Source organism: Homo sapiens, chromosome 11 (assembly GCF_000001405.40).
Source record: "Homo sapiens chromosome 11, GRCh38.p14 Primary Assembly".
NCBI lineage: Eukaryota > Metazoa > Chordata > Mammalia > Primates > Hominidae > Homo > Homo sapiens.
Genome location: NC_000011.10, coordinates 61,998,807 through 62,014,384, shown reverse-complemented (window position 1 = coordinate 62,014,384; position 15,578 = coordinate 61,998,807). Strand labels below are relative to the sequence as shown.

Genomic DNA, 15,578 nt, shown 5'->3' with positions numbered 1-15,578 from the left:
TATTGCCATGGCATTTGTAAACTGTCATGGCGTTGGTGGGATGTCTTTTAGCCTGCTAATGATTATAATTAGCGTATAATGAGCTGCGAGGATGACCAGAGGTCACTTTGTTGCCATCTTGGTTATGTTGGGATTTGGCTGGCTTCTTTACTACAACCCATTTTATCAGCAAGGTCTGTGTGACCTGTATCTTGTGCTGACGTCCTATCTCATCCTGTGACTTAGAATGGCTAACTTCCTGGGAATGCAGCCCAGTAGGTCTCAGCCTTATTTTACCCAGCCCCTATTCAAGATGGAGTTGCTCTGGTTCGAACTCCTCAGCCTCCTGAGTAGCTGGGACCACAAGCGCATGCCACCACGCCTGGCTAATTTTCTTTGTATTTCTTGTAGAGCCAGACTAGTCTCAAACTCCTGTGCTCAAGCCATCCGCTTGCCTCAGCCTCCCAAAGTGATGGGATTACAGCCATGGGCCACCACACTGGGCCTTGTTATTGTTATTGAGAGCATCCACCCAGGGAAGAGGCATGAGCTTTCTTCCTGGTTCATCTCCAGGAGCAGGGAAAAGAGAGAATTTATAGCCCCAGGGCCCTGTGGGCAGATTCTTTCTTGGCTCACTCTACAGAAGGTTCCAGGAAAGCTGGCGGGCGGGGTGCACACTGGGCATTTCCCTGCAGCTCAGCCTCCCAGGGAGCCAGGGAAGACTCCTGAGAAAAGCCTTTCCAGCGTGCAGGACTACCAGCGCTCCGGAATCCCTCCTGCGGTGCCAAGCCTGGCCTCCATGCTGACTGCCCCATCAGCGGAAAGCAGGAAGCAATGGGGTGATGGGGGACTTGGGGGAGTATTTGGCAGGTGGGGAGGAAGGGGTCAGCTGGCAGCAAAGCCACGGTCCTTGGAACTTGGATCCTTTCCTTACTCTGCATTGCTCACAGCAGAATCTTACTACCCCCCCCATCCCCACCCCCACTGGACCTAGCCCTCAGGAAGCCACATGCCTGGAGGACTCTCCTGTTAGATTGGATGCTTGCAGACTGGGCACTTGCTGACTCCTGGCTGTGACACAAAGCCCTCTATTGCTCCCCCTGGGTCCCTCACCTGCCAGGATTTACTCACGTTTCTGAGAAGAAGCTCAGAGGCCAGGGGACCTGGGGCAGGAGGCTCCCTGTGAACACAGAGAGTCCTATTCACGGATGAGGGCTCAGAGTCCTTGCCCTAAGGGAGTTGGTTGGGGCACTGGGACACACAGGCAGTTCGTGGCAGAGCAGGGACTGGAGCCAGGTCTGTGATCTGAGTCACCACCCATGGCTACTGCTGTCTTCTTCCCTGCCCACCAGTGCCCATCAGTGTTAGGGAGAACTCCCTGGTTCAGGAGAGGCATCTTGTGACTCCTCATGCAGCCAAGGCCTGGGACCTGGGGCCAGGGAAGATCCTCAGGCTCTGTCATGGAAGAGCGAGTATTGGCCTTACCCCAAGACTTCTCTGCCGGAAACTCCACTCCTCATCCCCAGCTCAACCCCCAGGCAGAGGGACTTTTCTCCTCCTCCACCTGAATCTCCAGTTCCAAGAAACAAGAAGCTGGCTCCAAAGGAAGACCTCCCCTTTTTCGATGCCCTGTTTATCTCTAAAGTGGACATGATTGATGGCACAGGAATGCATTCAGCTGCAAGTAACAGAAAACATGACCAACAATGTGGGAGAGACATAGATGTTTACTTTGCTCATGTAAGAAGATGACAGAGCTTCTTCTCCAAGAAAACACCAAATGGCAGATGACACAGTGCAGTGGGAGGCCCAGAGGCCCTGGGATGAGGAACAGTGGCAGCTTCTGCAGAGGCTTCGGCACTGGCATCTGGGGCTGAGGTCACGGCCAGGGTTGGAGCCAGGGGCATGAGAGCTCCAAGGCTATGGAGCTCTCAGAGGCAAGGCTGAGGATAAGGAGTGGATGCCCGTCACCAAGCTGGGCCGTCTGGTCAAGGACATGAAGATCAAGTCCCTGGAGGAGGTCTATCTCTTCTCCCTGCCCCTCAAGGAGTCTGATATCATTTACTTTTTCCCTGGGGTCTTCTCTCAAGGATGAGGTTTTGAAGATCATGCCAGTGCAGAAGCCGACCTGCGCTGGCCAGTACACCAGGTTCAAGTCATTTGTTGCCACTCGACTACAATGGCCACCTCATTCTGGGTGTTAAGTACTTCAAGAGGTGGCCACTGCCATCCAAGGGGCCATCAACTCTCCACGGTCCCTGGGCACAGAGGCTACTGGGGGAACAATATCGGCAAGCCCCACAGTGTCCCTTGCAAGGTGACAGGCCACCATGGCTCTGTGCTAGTGCACCTTAACCCTGTGCCCAAGGGCGCTGGCATCGTCTCCCCCGTGATGCCCGGTGCCCAGGAAGGTGCTGATGATAGCTGGTATCGATGACTGCTACACCTTGGCCAGGGGCTGCACTGCCACCCTGGGCAACTTTGCCAAGGCCAGCTTTGATGTCATCTCCAAGACCTACAGCTACCTGACCCGACCTCTAGAAGAATACTGTATTCACCAAGTCTCTTTACCAGGAATTCACTCACCATCTTGTCAAGACCCAGACCAGAGTCTCTGTGCAGAGGACCCAGGCTCCAGCTGTGGCTACAACATAGTGTTTTTATACAAGAAAAAGTTAATTAAGCCTTTGAAAAAAACAAAACAAAAAAAAGACCGGGCATGGTGGCTCACGCCTATAAACCCAGCACTTTGGGAGGCTGAGGTGGGTGGATCACTTGAAGTCAGGAGTTCAAGTCCAGCCTAGCCAACATGGTGAAACCCTGTCTCCACTAAAAATACAAAAATTAGCTGGGTCTGATGGCAGGTGCCTGTAATCCCAGCTACTTGGGAGGCTGAGGCGGGAGAATTGCCTGAACCCGGGAGGTGGAGGTTGCGGTGAGCTGAGATGGTACTACTGCACTGCAGCCTGGGTGACACAGTGAAACTCCATCTCAAAAAAAAAAGGAGAAGAAAAGACAGGGCTCTGGGCTATGGTCATTCTGGTTCTTTTAGGTTTCCCCTCATGGTTTCATGATGGCTGCAGCAGCCCCATACACCACATCCTCACAACATGTTCAGATGCAGGAAGCAGGGAGTGATACCAGGCAAAGAATTTTCACCTCCCAGCTTTGATCTTATCAGCAAAGAAAGACTGTTTTCAAGAAGGTCTCAAGAGGTCTCCTGACCTCTCCTCACAGCACTGGCCAAACAGGGGCTATAAAGTCTAAAGTCCTCCCTGACAAAGACAAAGCCAGGACATATCCGGCCATCCCATCCTTTACAGTGAGTGGAGGACAGGAAGAAAGGTTTTGGGACTGATTTGGGTTTAACCAAACAAAAGTACTTGCCACAACTGACCAGCTCTAGGAATCCTGGTTTTGAGCAACTAGACTTGGGAACAAATGTAACACAAGGCTAATCCTCCCTAGCTTCCTGACAGTTTCTCTCTAACAGAAGACAAGTAGATCCTCACTGGTGTTCTCTCCAAGCTAGAGTCCTAACCACTGTGAGAATCCATTCCACTACTGTTCCACAAATAAGCCACGAGCGCAGGGGTTAGATCTGAGGCTCTTTTTTTTTTTCTGTCTTTTGTTTGTTTTGTTTGTTTTTTACTTTTTAAAATTAATTATTATTATGATTATTATTATTATTTTTATTTTTTGAGACAGAGTCTTGTTCTTGCCACCCAGGCTGGAGTGCAATGGTGTGATCTCGGCTCACTGCAACCTCTGCCTCCCGGGTTCAAGCGATTCTCCTGCCTCAGCCTCCCAAGTAGCTGGGATTACAGGTGCCTGCCACCACGCCTGGCTAATTTTTGTATTTTTAGTAGAGACGGGGTTTCGCCATGTTGGCCAGGCTGGTCTGGAACTCCTGACCTCAAGGGATCCGCCTGCTTCAGCCTCCCAAAGTGCTGGTAGGCGTGAGCCACCTTGCCCGGCCATGTTTTTAATTTTTTTAGAGATGGGGTCTCACTCTGTTGCCCAGGCTGGAGGGCAGTGGCACCAGTATAGCTCACTGCAGTCTCAACCTCCTGGGCTCAAGCAATCCTCCCACCTCAGATTCCTGAGTAGCTGGGACTTCAGGCATGCACCACCACACCCAGCTAATTTTTTTTTTTTTTTTTTTTTTTGAGACAGAGTCTCGTTCTGTTGCCCAGGCTGGAGTGCAGTGGCGCGATCTCTGCTCACTGCAAGCTCCGTCTCCCGGGTTCACACCATTCTCCTGCCTCAGCCTCCCAAGTAGCTGAGACTACAGGCACCTGCCATCATGCCCGGCTAATTTTTTGTACATTTAGTAGAGACGGGGTTTCACCATGTTAGCCAGGATGGTCTTGATCTCCTGACCTAGTGATCCACCTGCCTAGGCCTCCCAAAGTGCTGGGATTACAGGCATGAGCCACCGCACCCGGCCCAAAACGTTTTTTTTTTTTTTTTGAGATGGAGTCTTGCTGTGTTGCCCAGGCTGGAGTGCAGTGGCATGATCTCGGCTCACTGCAACCTCTGACTCCTGAGTTCAAGTGATTCTCCTGCCTCAGCCTCCCAAGTAGCTGGGATGACAGGCACCTGCCACCATGCCTGGCTAATTTTTGTATTTTTAGTAGAAATGGGGTTTTGCTATGTTGGCCAGGCTGGTCTTGAACTCCTGGCCTCAGGTGATCCACCCACTTCAGCCTCCCCAAAGTGCTGGGATTACAGGCGTGAGCCACCGCGCCCGGCTAATGTTTTATTATTTATAGAGACGATGTCTAGCTGTGTTGCCCAGGCTGGTCTCAAATTCCTGGACTCACACAATCCTCTTGCCTTGGCCTCCCAAAGTGCTGAGATTACAAGTGTGAGCCACCACAGCCAACCAACTTTTTCTTTTATATTGAGGCAAAATTCACATCCCATAAAATTTACCATTTTGGCCGGGCGCAGTGGTTCACGCCTGTAATCCCAGCACTTTGGGAGGCCGAGGCGGGCAGATCACGAGGTCAGGAGATCAAGACCATCCTGGCTAACATGGTGAAACCCCGTCTCTAGTAAAAATACAAAAACATTAGCCAGGCGTGGTGGTGGGCGCCTGTGGTCCCAGCTACTCGGGAGGCTGAGGCAGGAGAATGGTGTGAACCTGGGGGGTGGAGCTTGCAGTGAGCCGAGATCACACCACTGCACTCCAGCCTGGGTGACAGAGCGAGACTCCGACTCAAAAAAAAAAAAAAAATTTTTTTACCATTTTAACCAAAGTGTAGAATTCATTTTAAAGTGTAAAATTTATACATTCAAAATGTTGTGCAACCATCACCACCATCTCATTCCAGAACATTTTTATCTCCCCAAAAGGAAACTCCATACCCATTAAGCAGTGACTGCCATTGTCCCTTCTCTCCAGTTCCCCAGCAACCACTACTCTGCTGTCTCTATGGATTTGCCTATTCTGGACATTTCTTTTTTTTTTTTCTTTTTTTTTTGAGACAGAGTCTCGCACTGTCACCCCAGCTGGAGTGCAGTGGTGTGATCTCGGCTCACCGCAAGCTCTGCCTCCCGGGTTCACGCCATTCTCCTGCCTCAGCCTCCCAAGTAGCTGGGACTACAGGTGCCCACCACCACACCCAGCTAATTTTTTGTATTTTTAGTAGAGACGGGGTTTCACCGTGTTAGCCAGGATGGTCTCGATCTTCTGACCTCCTGATCCACCCGCTTCGGCCTCCCAAAGCACTCGGATTACAGGTGTGAGCCACTGCGCCCAGCCTGGACATTTCATATAAATGGAATCATATGATATGTGGGCTGTTGTGTCTGGCATCTTGCATAGTTTCCAAGATTCATCCATGTGGTAGCATCTATCAATACTTCATTATTTTATGGTTGAAGAAAACTCCATGAAATGAATAAATATAGCATATTTTGTTTACCCAATCACCAGTTGATGGGCATTTGGGTTGCTTCAAACCTTTGGGTATTACACATAATGCTACTATGAACATTCAAGTACCAGTTTCTGTTTTCACTTCTTTTGGGTATATACCTAAGAGTGAAATTGCTGGGTCATATGGTAATTCCACAGTTAAGTGTTCGAAGACTGCCAAAAAGTTTTCTACAATAGCTGTACCATTTTACCAGCAATGTATGAAGTTTCCAATTTCTCCACATCCTCACCAACACTTGTTATTTTCAGTGTTTTTAGTTATAGCCATCCTAGTGGGTAGGGAGTGGTATCTCATTGTGGTTTTTTTTTTTTTTTTTCAAGACGGGGTCTTGCTCTGTTGTCAGTCTGGAGTGGCACGATCTCGGCTCACTGCAACCTCTGCCTCCTGGATTCAAGTGATTCTCCTGCCTCAGCCTCCCGAGTAGCTGAGACTACAGGTGCGTGCCACAACGCCCAGCTAATTTTTGTATTTTTAGTAGAGACGGGGTTTCACCATGTTGGCCAGAATGGTCTGGATCTTTTGACCTTGTGACCTGCCCACCTCAGCCTCCCAATGTGCTGGGATTACAGGCATGAGCCGCCACATCCAGCCCTCATTGTGATTTTTATTTGCATTTCCCTAATGACTGATGATGTTGAGGACCATGTTTATTGACCATTTGCAGATCTTTTGCGGAGAAATGTACAATCAAGTCCTTTGCTCATTTGTTTGTTTGTTTTTTGAATTGTTGAGTTCTAACAGTTCTTTACGTATTCTGGATCCTAGACTCTTATCAGATATATGACTTGCAAATATTTTTCCCATTTTTGGGTTATTGCTTCACTTTCATGATAGTGGTCTTTGATGCACAAAAGTTTTAGATACCAATGAAGTCCACTTTTTCTTTTGTTACTTGCTTGTGCTTTTGGTGTCATATCTAAGAATCCATAGCCAAATCCAAGGTCATGAAGACTTAGCCCTATGTTTTCTTCTATGAGTTTGGTAGTTTTTAGCTCTTACATTTAGATATTTGATCCATTTTGAGTAAATTTTGTACATAGTATGAGGTAAGGGTCCAACTTCTTTCTTTTGAACATGGATATCCAGTTGTTCCAGCCTGTTCCAGCTCCATTTATTGAATGACTGTGGCCCCTCCAACTTTTTTTTTTTTTTTAGATGAAATCTCGCTCTGTCACCCAGGCTGGGGTGCAGTGGCGCATTCTCGGCTCACTGCAGACTCCACCTCTCGGGTTCAAATGATTCTCCTGCTCAGCCTCCCAAGTAGCTGGAATTACAGGCACCTGCCACCACACCGAATAATTTTTGTATTTTTAGTAGAGATGGGCTTTCACCATGTTGGCCAGGCTGGTCTCAAACTCCTGATCTCAGGTGATCCACCCTTCTCAGTCTCCCAAAGTGCTGGGATGACAGGCGTGAGTCACCGTGCCTGGCCTGTGGCACCCTTTTTGAAAGTTAATTGACCTTACGTGTATAGGTTTATTTCTAGACTCTAAGTTGTACCTCATTGATCTACACCATTAATTTCTAAGGCATTGGAGAAAGAGGCAAATGAACACAGGTCCAACTCTTTAGAGAAACAAATTTAATAAAGCAAAACACTCTTCTCCCTGGACTACATTGGCCTGGGCAGAATATTTGGGGTTCATGATAGATTTTCAGTCAAAATATCTTATCTAAATTTTTTTTTTTTTTGAGACTGGGTCTCATTCTGTTGCCCAAGCTGGAGGGCAGTGGCATGATTGCAGCTCACTGTAGACTCAGTCTCCCGGGATCAAGCGATCCCTTTACCTCAGCCTCCCAAGCAGCTGGGAGTATAGGCATAAGCACCACATTCAGCCTTATCTGAACTTTGAACATTGGTATGACCTTGGTTCCTTTTTCTTTGGAGACGAAGTCTCGCTCGTCGCCCAGGCTGGAGAGCAGTGGCACGATCTCGACTCACTGCAACCTCCATCTCCCGGGTTCAAGCAGTTCTCCTGCCTCAGCCTCCCAAGTAGCTGGGACTATGGGTGCGTGCCATCACAGCCGCCTAATTTTTTTTTTTTTTGAGACCCAGTCTTGCTTTGTTGCCCAGGTTGGAGTGCAGTGGTGAGATCTCTGCTCACTGCAAGCTCCGCCTCCCGGGTTCACACCATTCCTCTGCCTCAGCCTCCCAAGTAACTGGGACTATAGGCGCCCACCACCATGCCCAGCTAATTTTTTGTGTTTTTAATAGAGACGGGGCTTCACCATGTTAGCCAGGATGGTCTCGATCTCCTGACCTCGTGAACCACCCGCCTCGGCCTTCCGAAGGGCTGGCATTACAGGCGTGAGCCACTGTGCCCGGCCAATTTTTTGTATTTTTAGTAGAGACGGGGTTTCACCATATTGGCCAGGCTTGCCTTGAACTCCTGACCTCAGGTGATCCACCTGCCTCAGCCTCCCAAAGTGCTGGGATTACAGGCGTGAGCCACTGCATCAAGCCCCTTGGTTCCTATTTTATTCCCAGAAGAGAAACTCTTCTGGGGAGGTGGCCATCCACACGCTGAAAAATGGCTTCTCCTTTTTAATCTTAACCAACTGTCCAAGTCAGAGAAACACAAATTCACGCTGTAAAGTCTTGGCCTAGGAGTCACTTCCCCTGGGGAAGCTGGTAGCCCCCCATCTTGTCAGTGCCCTTCCTATCAACCCCTCAGTAAGCTCTCCTAAAAGAAAAAGGCTGTGAGTCCAATTATATGGTTTGTGGGAGAGAAAAACCCTTGGTCCCCTGGGTGGTAGCAAATGGAGGACACTTAAAGGCTGGCAGTTGGTGTCTGGGGAACAGTCTGGATCTCCTATACTCCACGACCTACAGATTGCAGGCAGCTGGTCAGGTGGAGTCAGGCAGTCAGTTCTCCCATCCCCCGTCCCAACCCCCGACATCATGGGACAGAAAAAGCTGGCACCCGTGGGTGGGAAGAATTTCAGAGAGAAAGAGGGAGATTGAGCAGAAGAGGGAGGCTGCTTGCAGCCCTGAATAACATCTTTCTTTGCATATTTTCTTCCTCCAGAACAGTTTGGAGGCACAGTCCAGCTGCTGCCTTGGCTTTTGATCAGAATGATTACCCACAGGCCCATCCTTTCTTAGCACTGTTAGAGAACAGAGAGATGGCACTGGCTTCCAAAGTGTCCCGCGGGTGTCTTTTCTGCCTTTTTCTATCCTTCCATCCATTCCTGTGGGTTCTCGGGCAGCTGCTCATTTGAAAGAGAGGAGAGAGACATTTTTTTGTTTGTTTGTTTTGAGACGGAGTCTCGCTCTGTTGCCAGGCTGGAGTGCAGTGGCACGATCTCGGCTCACTGTAACCTCCGCTTCCCAGGTTCAAGCGATTCTCCTGCCTCAACCTCCCGAGTGGCTGGGACTACAGGCACATGCTACCACCATGCCCAGCTAATTTTTGTATTTTTAGTAGAGATAGGGTTTCACCACGTTCGCCAGGCTGGTCTCGATCTCCTGGCCTTGTGATCTGCCTGCCTTGGCCTCCCAAAGTGCTGGGATTACAGGTGTGAGCCACTGCGCCCAGCTGAGAGACATTTTTTAAGAGCAAAATCCATGCATGGCCAGGCCTCGGAATCTTTCTAAGGCCTCCTAGACTCTCAGGGGACCCACCATGGCAGTGGCACTGACATGCAGCCCAGGGTTGTGGTCCAAGGAGGGCTTATGAGCTGACTCAGAGGAAGTAAGCTTGTTCTTGGCTGCAGGGCAAGACTAGCCATGGAGGTGGGCTCTGGCCAGCTGGTCTGATATTCTTGCTGGTCCTGACTTTCATTTCCTCTGGAAATCCCGCACACTTGACCACAGAGGCTTTTGCAATATGTGTGTATCCTAATTCCCCTGGGGTTTTTCTCTTTTTGTTTTCTGAGGAGTGGGTCCACTTCAGTAAAATTACACACAAAGTTGGAGCTTTCTGTTCCAGGAAGGCAAAGGTTACAATTCTAGCAAGCCTAACACCCAAAAACACAAAACGCTGAAACCAGGAGAATGAGTTAGAAAATATGTATCCATGGCCAGGCGCAGTGGCACACGCCTGTAATCCCAGCACTTTGGGAGGCCAAGGCGGGTGGATCACGAGGTCAGGAGTTCAAGACCAGCCTGGCCAAGATGGTGAAACCCCGTCTCTACTAAAAATACAAAAAAATTATCCAGGCGTGGTGGCGCATGCCTGTAATCCCAGCTACTCCAGAGGCTGAGGCAGAGAATTGCTTAAACCTGGAGGGGCAGAGGTTGCAGTGAGCCGAGATCGTGCCACTGCACTCCAGCCTGGGCGACAGAGCGAGACTCCGTCTAAAAAAAAAAAAAAAAGAAAATTTGTACCCTGGCAGGTCACGGTGGCTCACACCTGTAATCCCAGCACTTTGGGAGGCTGAGGAGGGTGGATCACCTGAGGTCAGGAGTTCGAGACCAGCCTGGCCAACATGGTGAAACCCCGTCTCTACTAAAAATACAAAAATTAGCTGGGCGTGGTGGCAGGCACCTGTAATCACAGCTACGCAGGAGGCTGAGGCAGGAGAATAGCTTGAACCCGGAAGGTGGAGGTTGCAGTGAGCCGAAATTGCTCCACTGCACTCCAGCCTGGGCGACAAGAGCAAGACTCCATCCAAAAAAAAAAAAAAGAAGGCGAGGCGCAGTGGCTCGCGCCTGTAATCCCAGCACTTTGGGAGGCCGAGGCAGGTGGATCACCTGAGGTCAGGAGTTCGAGACCACCCTGGCCAACATGGTGAAACCCCATCTCTACTAAAAATACAAAAAATTAGCTGGGTAGGGTGGCAGGCACATGTAATCCCAGCTACTTGGGAGGCTGAGGCAAGAGAATTGCTTGATCCCGGGAAGCAGAGGTTGCAGTGAGCCAAGATCGCGCCACTGCACTCCAGCCTGTATGACAAGAGCGAGACTATCTCAAACAAAACAAAACAAAACAAAAAAAACAGAAACCTAGCTCCTTCAGCCTGTTCCCACCTGTGTCACTTACTTTTAAAGTTCTGCAAGCCATGTGGGCCCACCCACTTTTTCCAGCCTGGGGTTCCCTGGGTTCTAGCCCCATGCAGACAGAGAACTTCCGACGGACTTGTTCACAGGGGCTGGGAGTCTTCCGGTTTAAGTAAAGGATGGTGGCAGAGGTGCATCTTCTGCCCCAGAAACATCTCGGCTGAAGGAGACTCCATCTGCCTGGCCCAGCGTAGGGAGAATATCAGCCCATTGTTGGTGAAGGTGTTTCCAGGGACAGGGACAGTGGGCTGCCTCTTTCTCCAGCGATCTCCCCTCAGGGGCATATGTGAAGAGGAAAGCTGAAGAAAGAAAAGGCCAACTCGTCCTCTTGGCTCAACTTGTCTCTCCAAGTCATCTTCTTCCTCACTCCATCCAAACCCAAGTACCATCCACCCATCCAATAGATAATGACTGAACATCCCCAGGTGCCAGACACCCTTCTAGGTACTGGGATACGGCAGTGATGATGACAGTAAGGCCCAATGACTCTCAGAAAGTTCACACTATAGTCAGTGGAGGCTGGAAAGGGTCAGTATATTCCACGGAAATAGTGTTAACTACAAGAAAGCAAAACCAGTAATGGCATAGAGAGGGACTGAGTCTTGGGGAGATGAACTCCTTTGCGGAGGGGTCAGGGAAGGCTGCTAGGAGCTGACTCTCCAGCTGAGCCCTCCATTCTGAGAAGAGGCCAGCCCAGGAGAGATTAAGGGAAGAGCATCCGGGCAGAGAGAACAGCGAATATGGAAGTCCTGAGGGGCATCGAAAATGCCGGAATCTGGAGGTCCAGGGAGCACTCTGGAAAATCTCTTGGATTGTTATCCCTCTCATCTGGTTACTCGCGGGGATGCTCATGGAAGCAGGAAATCTTTCCTGTCTGCATAAAGTGTATACACATTTACATGGAGCGTTGGCCAAGCATGGTGGCTCACGCCTGTAATCTCAACACTTTGGGAGGCTGAGGCGGGTGGATCCCTTGAGGTCAGGAGTTCAAGACCAGCCTGGCCAATATGGTGAAACCCTGTCTCTACCAAAACTACAGAAATTAGCCGGGAGTGGTGGTGCATGCCTATTTTCCCAGCTACTTGGGAGGTTGAAGCAGGAGAATCGCTTGAACCCAGGAGGCAGAGGTTGCAGTGAGCTGAGATCGTGCCACTGCACTCCAGCCTGAGCAACAGAGCGAGACCCTGTCTCAAAAAATAAATGAACACATGGAGCGTCATTTTGACTAAGCAGAGCCGTCGATGGCAAGCTACACTGTCAGCAGGGACCCTTAGCTTTCACGAGGAGAGAACACAGCCTTCTGTTTTCTCTTCAGTGCCTCATGGAGTCAGACATTCCCATCACTCGCTGTACAGACTGCCTGACTCCCATGCGCCAAGGATGAGGGTGATGAAATTTCTTCTCTGGGTGAAAATGCTTCTGCTGACTTCTCTTCGTACACACAAATCTACTGAATACTTACAAACACAGTCTTTTTTGGCAAGATAGGCTCCAAACTCCTCTTCCAGCAGAGGGAACAAAGGTTTTGCTCTCTTCTTCCAGCAGATGTGGAGCCAGAGAAGGTACAGATTAACCTTGCAGTGGGCTCCCTGCCAAGGCTCCGTGCAGCCCCAAAGCCAGGCCCTTGAACTGCGGACTAAGAGGCCTGCTCCCACACTGCTAGGCCACCCACTGAGCTCAGGACAGCTTCTTTTACTTAATTGACCAGAAAGACGCTGAGGGGTCTCAGGGGTAGGCAAGACGAGCTTAGGAACTTCGAGCCCTCACCCCTCTATTCACCCCTCTCATTGTTTCCTCCAGCTGACCCTCCTGAGTTAACCCCCCACACCAGGACTGGGAGATCCAATCGACAGGTGTGGTTTTCTCTAGGAAAATAATCATGATAATGACATGCAGGGGGAGGAAAAATCACTCAACCCCCTCCCAGATCCCAGGGTGAGGGTGTTCCTGATTTCGTCACTTCCTGGGGCTTCTTGACGGTTTCTCCTTAGGGTCTTTCTAAAGGCCCTGGGGCAGCACTTTGCCACCAGCCACCGTAAGCAACACAAAGCGCGCCCAAGTCTACCTCGGGCGGGGCCTGTCTTTTCTCTGCACCGGGCGCCACTTCGGCAGGCAGGAGAGCAAGGCTGGGGAGGGGACCAGGACGGAGAGGAGGTAGGAAGCATGCCACGTGGCACAAAGGCCCAAGAAGCAGACACTGGATCCGAAGACGATGAGCAGAGTGGGAGCAGGCTGCGTCATAGCGGGGGCACTCAGAGGCTGTGGATGTTACTCCCCAGGACAGGTAGCAATGGGTTAAGGAACAGGCAGAAAGAAGGGTCCCATTCTGCTATGGACCAGCAGAGGAAGGGGCCACATCATGGTGAGTCCCCCAACCCCACCTGGACTGAGCCTCTGGTTCTCCTGGCCCAGGTGGGCGGTCCGGGAGAGCTGGTGAACATCGCCAGCCTGGTCCTGCATGTAGAGGAGTCCTGGGCTGGGGGCAGCCTGGACTTGGTCAAACCACCCAGGTAATTCTTCCTTCTGTACACAGCCGAGGGTCAGGACATGCTCCCCTAAAAACCCCGGCTTCCCATGAAAGTCTCAACAGAGGCAGAGTGGGGGCAGCTCCAGCTGCTGAGAATTCCCAGACATCATGATTTCTAAAGCCACTTTTACTCTTTAACCATGTTTGACTCTGTGACACTTGGGCTTCAAGGCCACCTCAGAGAGATAAGGAGGTATAAGGTCAGAGCTGCTAAGCAATAAACTGTGGTTTAGCAGTGGGGGCAGGGGTTGCAAAATCTAGGCAAACGATCAATGATGTTATTGTCGGGACACTCAACAGGTTACAGGGTCTTCATATCCGTCCATCCTCACAGGGACGCCAGGAGGTGAGCAGAGCAGGAATGACCTCAAGCAGATGCACATCCAGAGAGGAGGTGGGCTTCACTGCCTATGGCCCTACCCTACTCTGGGCCTTTAGGGTCTGCCTTTATTTTATTCTATTTTTTAATTTTTATTATTTATTATTTTATTTATTTATTTATTTATTTGAGACAGAGTCTTGCCCCATCACCCAGGCTGGAGTGCAGTAGTGCGATCTCGGCTCACTGCAACCTCTGCCTCCCGGGTTCAAGTCATTCTCCTGCCTCAGCCTCCCAAGTAGCGGGGACCACAGGTGCCTGCCACCACGCCTGGCTAATTTTTTTTTTTTTTTTGAGACGGACTCTTGCTCTGTGGCTCAGACTGGAGTGCAATGGTGTGATCTCAGCTCACTGCAACGTCCGCATCCCGGGCTCAAGTGATTCTCCTGCCTCAGCTTCCTGAGTAGCTGGGATTACAGGTGCCTGCCACCATGCCCAGCTAATTTTTGTATTTTTAATAGAGATGGGGTTTCACCATGTGGGCCAGGCTGGTCCTTGTAATCCACCTGCCTCGGCCTCCCAAAGTGCTGGGATTACAGACGTGAGCCACTGCACCCAGCCTATTTTTTAATTTTTTTAGAGACAGGGTCTTACTCTGTCACCCAGGCTGGAGTGCAGTGGTATGATTATGGCAACTTCGAACTCCCCAGCTCCAGCAATCCTCCCACTTCAGCCTCCTGAGTAGCTGACACTACAGGTGCACACCACTGGGCCCAGCTAGTTTTTTTGTTTGTTTGTTTTAGTAGACAAGACCTCTCCCTATGTTGCCCACGCTGGTCTCAGAACTCCTGGGCTCCAGCGATCCTCCCGCCTTGGCTTCCCAAAATGTTGGGCTTACAGACATGAGCCACTGCATCCAGCTATTTATTTTATTTTTTAAATGACACATAATTGTACATATCAGTGGGGTACATAGTGATATTTCAATATATACAATTTCTAGTGATCAGATCAGGGTAATTAGCATATCCATCTTCTCCAACATTTATCCATTGTTAGAAACAAAATGCTTGTTCCTTGGTGCCGCAAGGAGAAATCAGCATTCAGACAAAAAGTTTTCACAGCAAGGCAATTTTACTTACTGCAGAAAAGGTGCTGCTTGTCAGCAATCTTGCCACGAGACCACACTGAACAAAGAAAGACAGGAATATTTATCCCCTATGCACTGGGTCCTTACTGCTGTGTCCTATCTCCATTGGTTGGAGCTGGACCTCACAGTCTAAGTTAAACCCAGCTGGCTAACAATTTAAGACTTTCCTAAATAGGTAAAGGTAATGGAGAACAAAAGGAAAAGAGGCTTGCGAAAGGACTTAGAGAAGTAACAACATTTCCAAATAAGGAAGGGGCAAAGGCTGTGAGCTGGGACATGCCTGAGCATGCCCAGAACAAATATCTTGGTTAAAGTACAAGGACATAGAATATACTTATTCCCTTATATCTAACAGCTACGTAGGATAGGGCTTAACAAAGAGTTATTAGCAAAAAGCAAGAAGGCTTTGGAGGAAGTTAGTCTTTAAAATAAACTATTATTTCTAACATTTATTATTTATTCTTTAACAAGAAGGGAAACTTTGAAGAGGAATTTTACTTTCCACATCCATTTTTCATTTCTTTTCTTTTCTTTTTTTTTTTTCTTTTTTTTTTCTGAGACAGGGTCTCACTCTGTCACCCAGGCTGGAGTGCAGTGGTGCCATCTCAGCTCACTGCAACCTCTGCCTCCTGGTTTCAAGTGATTCTCTTGAC

At 49.6% G+C, this 15,578-nt stretch overlaps 1 pseudogene, besides 2 other annotated features; it reads left to right on the top strand.

The window, feature by feature from the left end:
* Positions 464-964: an enhancer, noted in NCBI's record as "H3K4me1 hESC enhancer chr11:61780893-61781393 (GRCh37/hg19 assembly coordinates)". NCBI's record gives its function as "activates a minimal SCP1, AML or CMV promoter by ChIP-STARR-seq in naive H9 embryonic stem cells {active_cell/tissue: H9 hESC(naive)}" and the evidence as "EXISTENCE:reporter gene assay evidence [ECO:0000049][PMID:30033119]".
* Positions 1,737-2,664, top strand: RPS2P37 (ribosomal protein S2 pseudogene 37; annotated as a pseudogene).
* Positions 12,896-13,648: an enhancer, noted in NCBI's record as "H3K27ac-H3K4me1 hESC enhancer chr11:61768209-61768961 (GRCh37/hg19 assembly coordinates)". NCBI's record gives its function as "activates a minimal SCP1, AML or CMV promoter by ChIP-STARR-seq in primed H9 embryonic stem cells {active_cell/tissue: H9 hESC(primed)}" and the evidence as "EXISTENCE:reporter gene assay evidence [ECO:0000049][PMID:30033119]".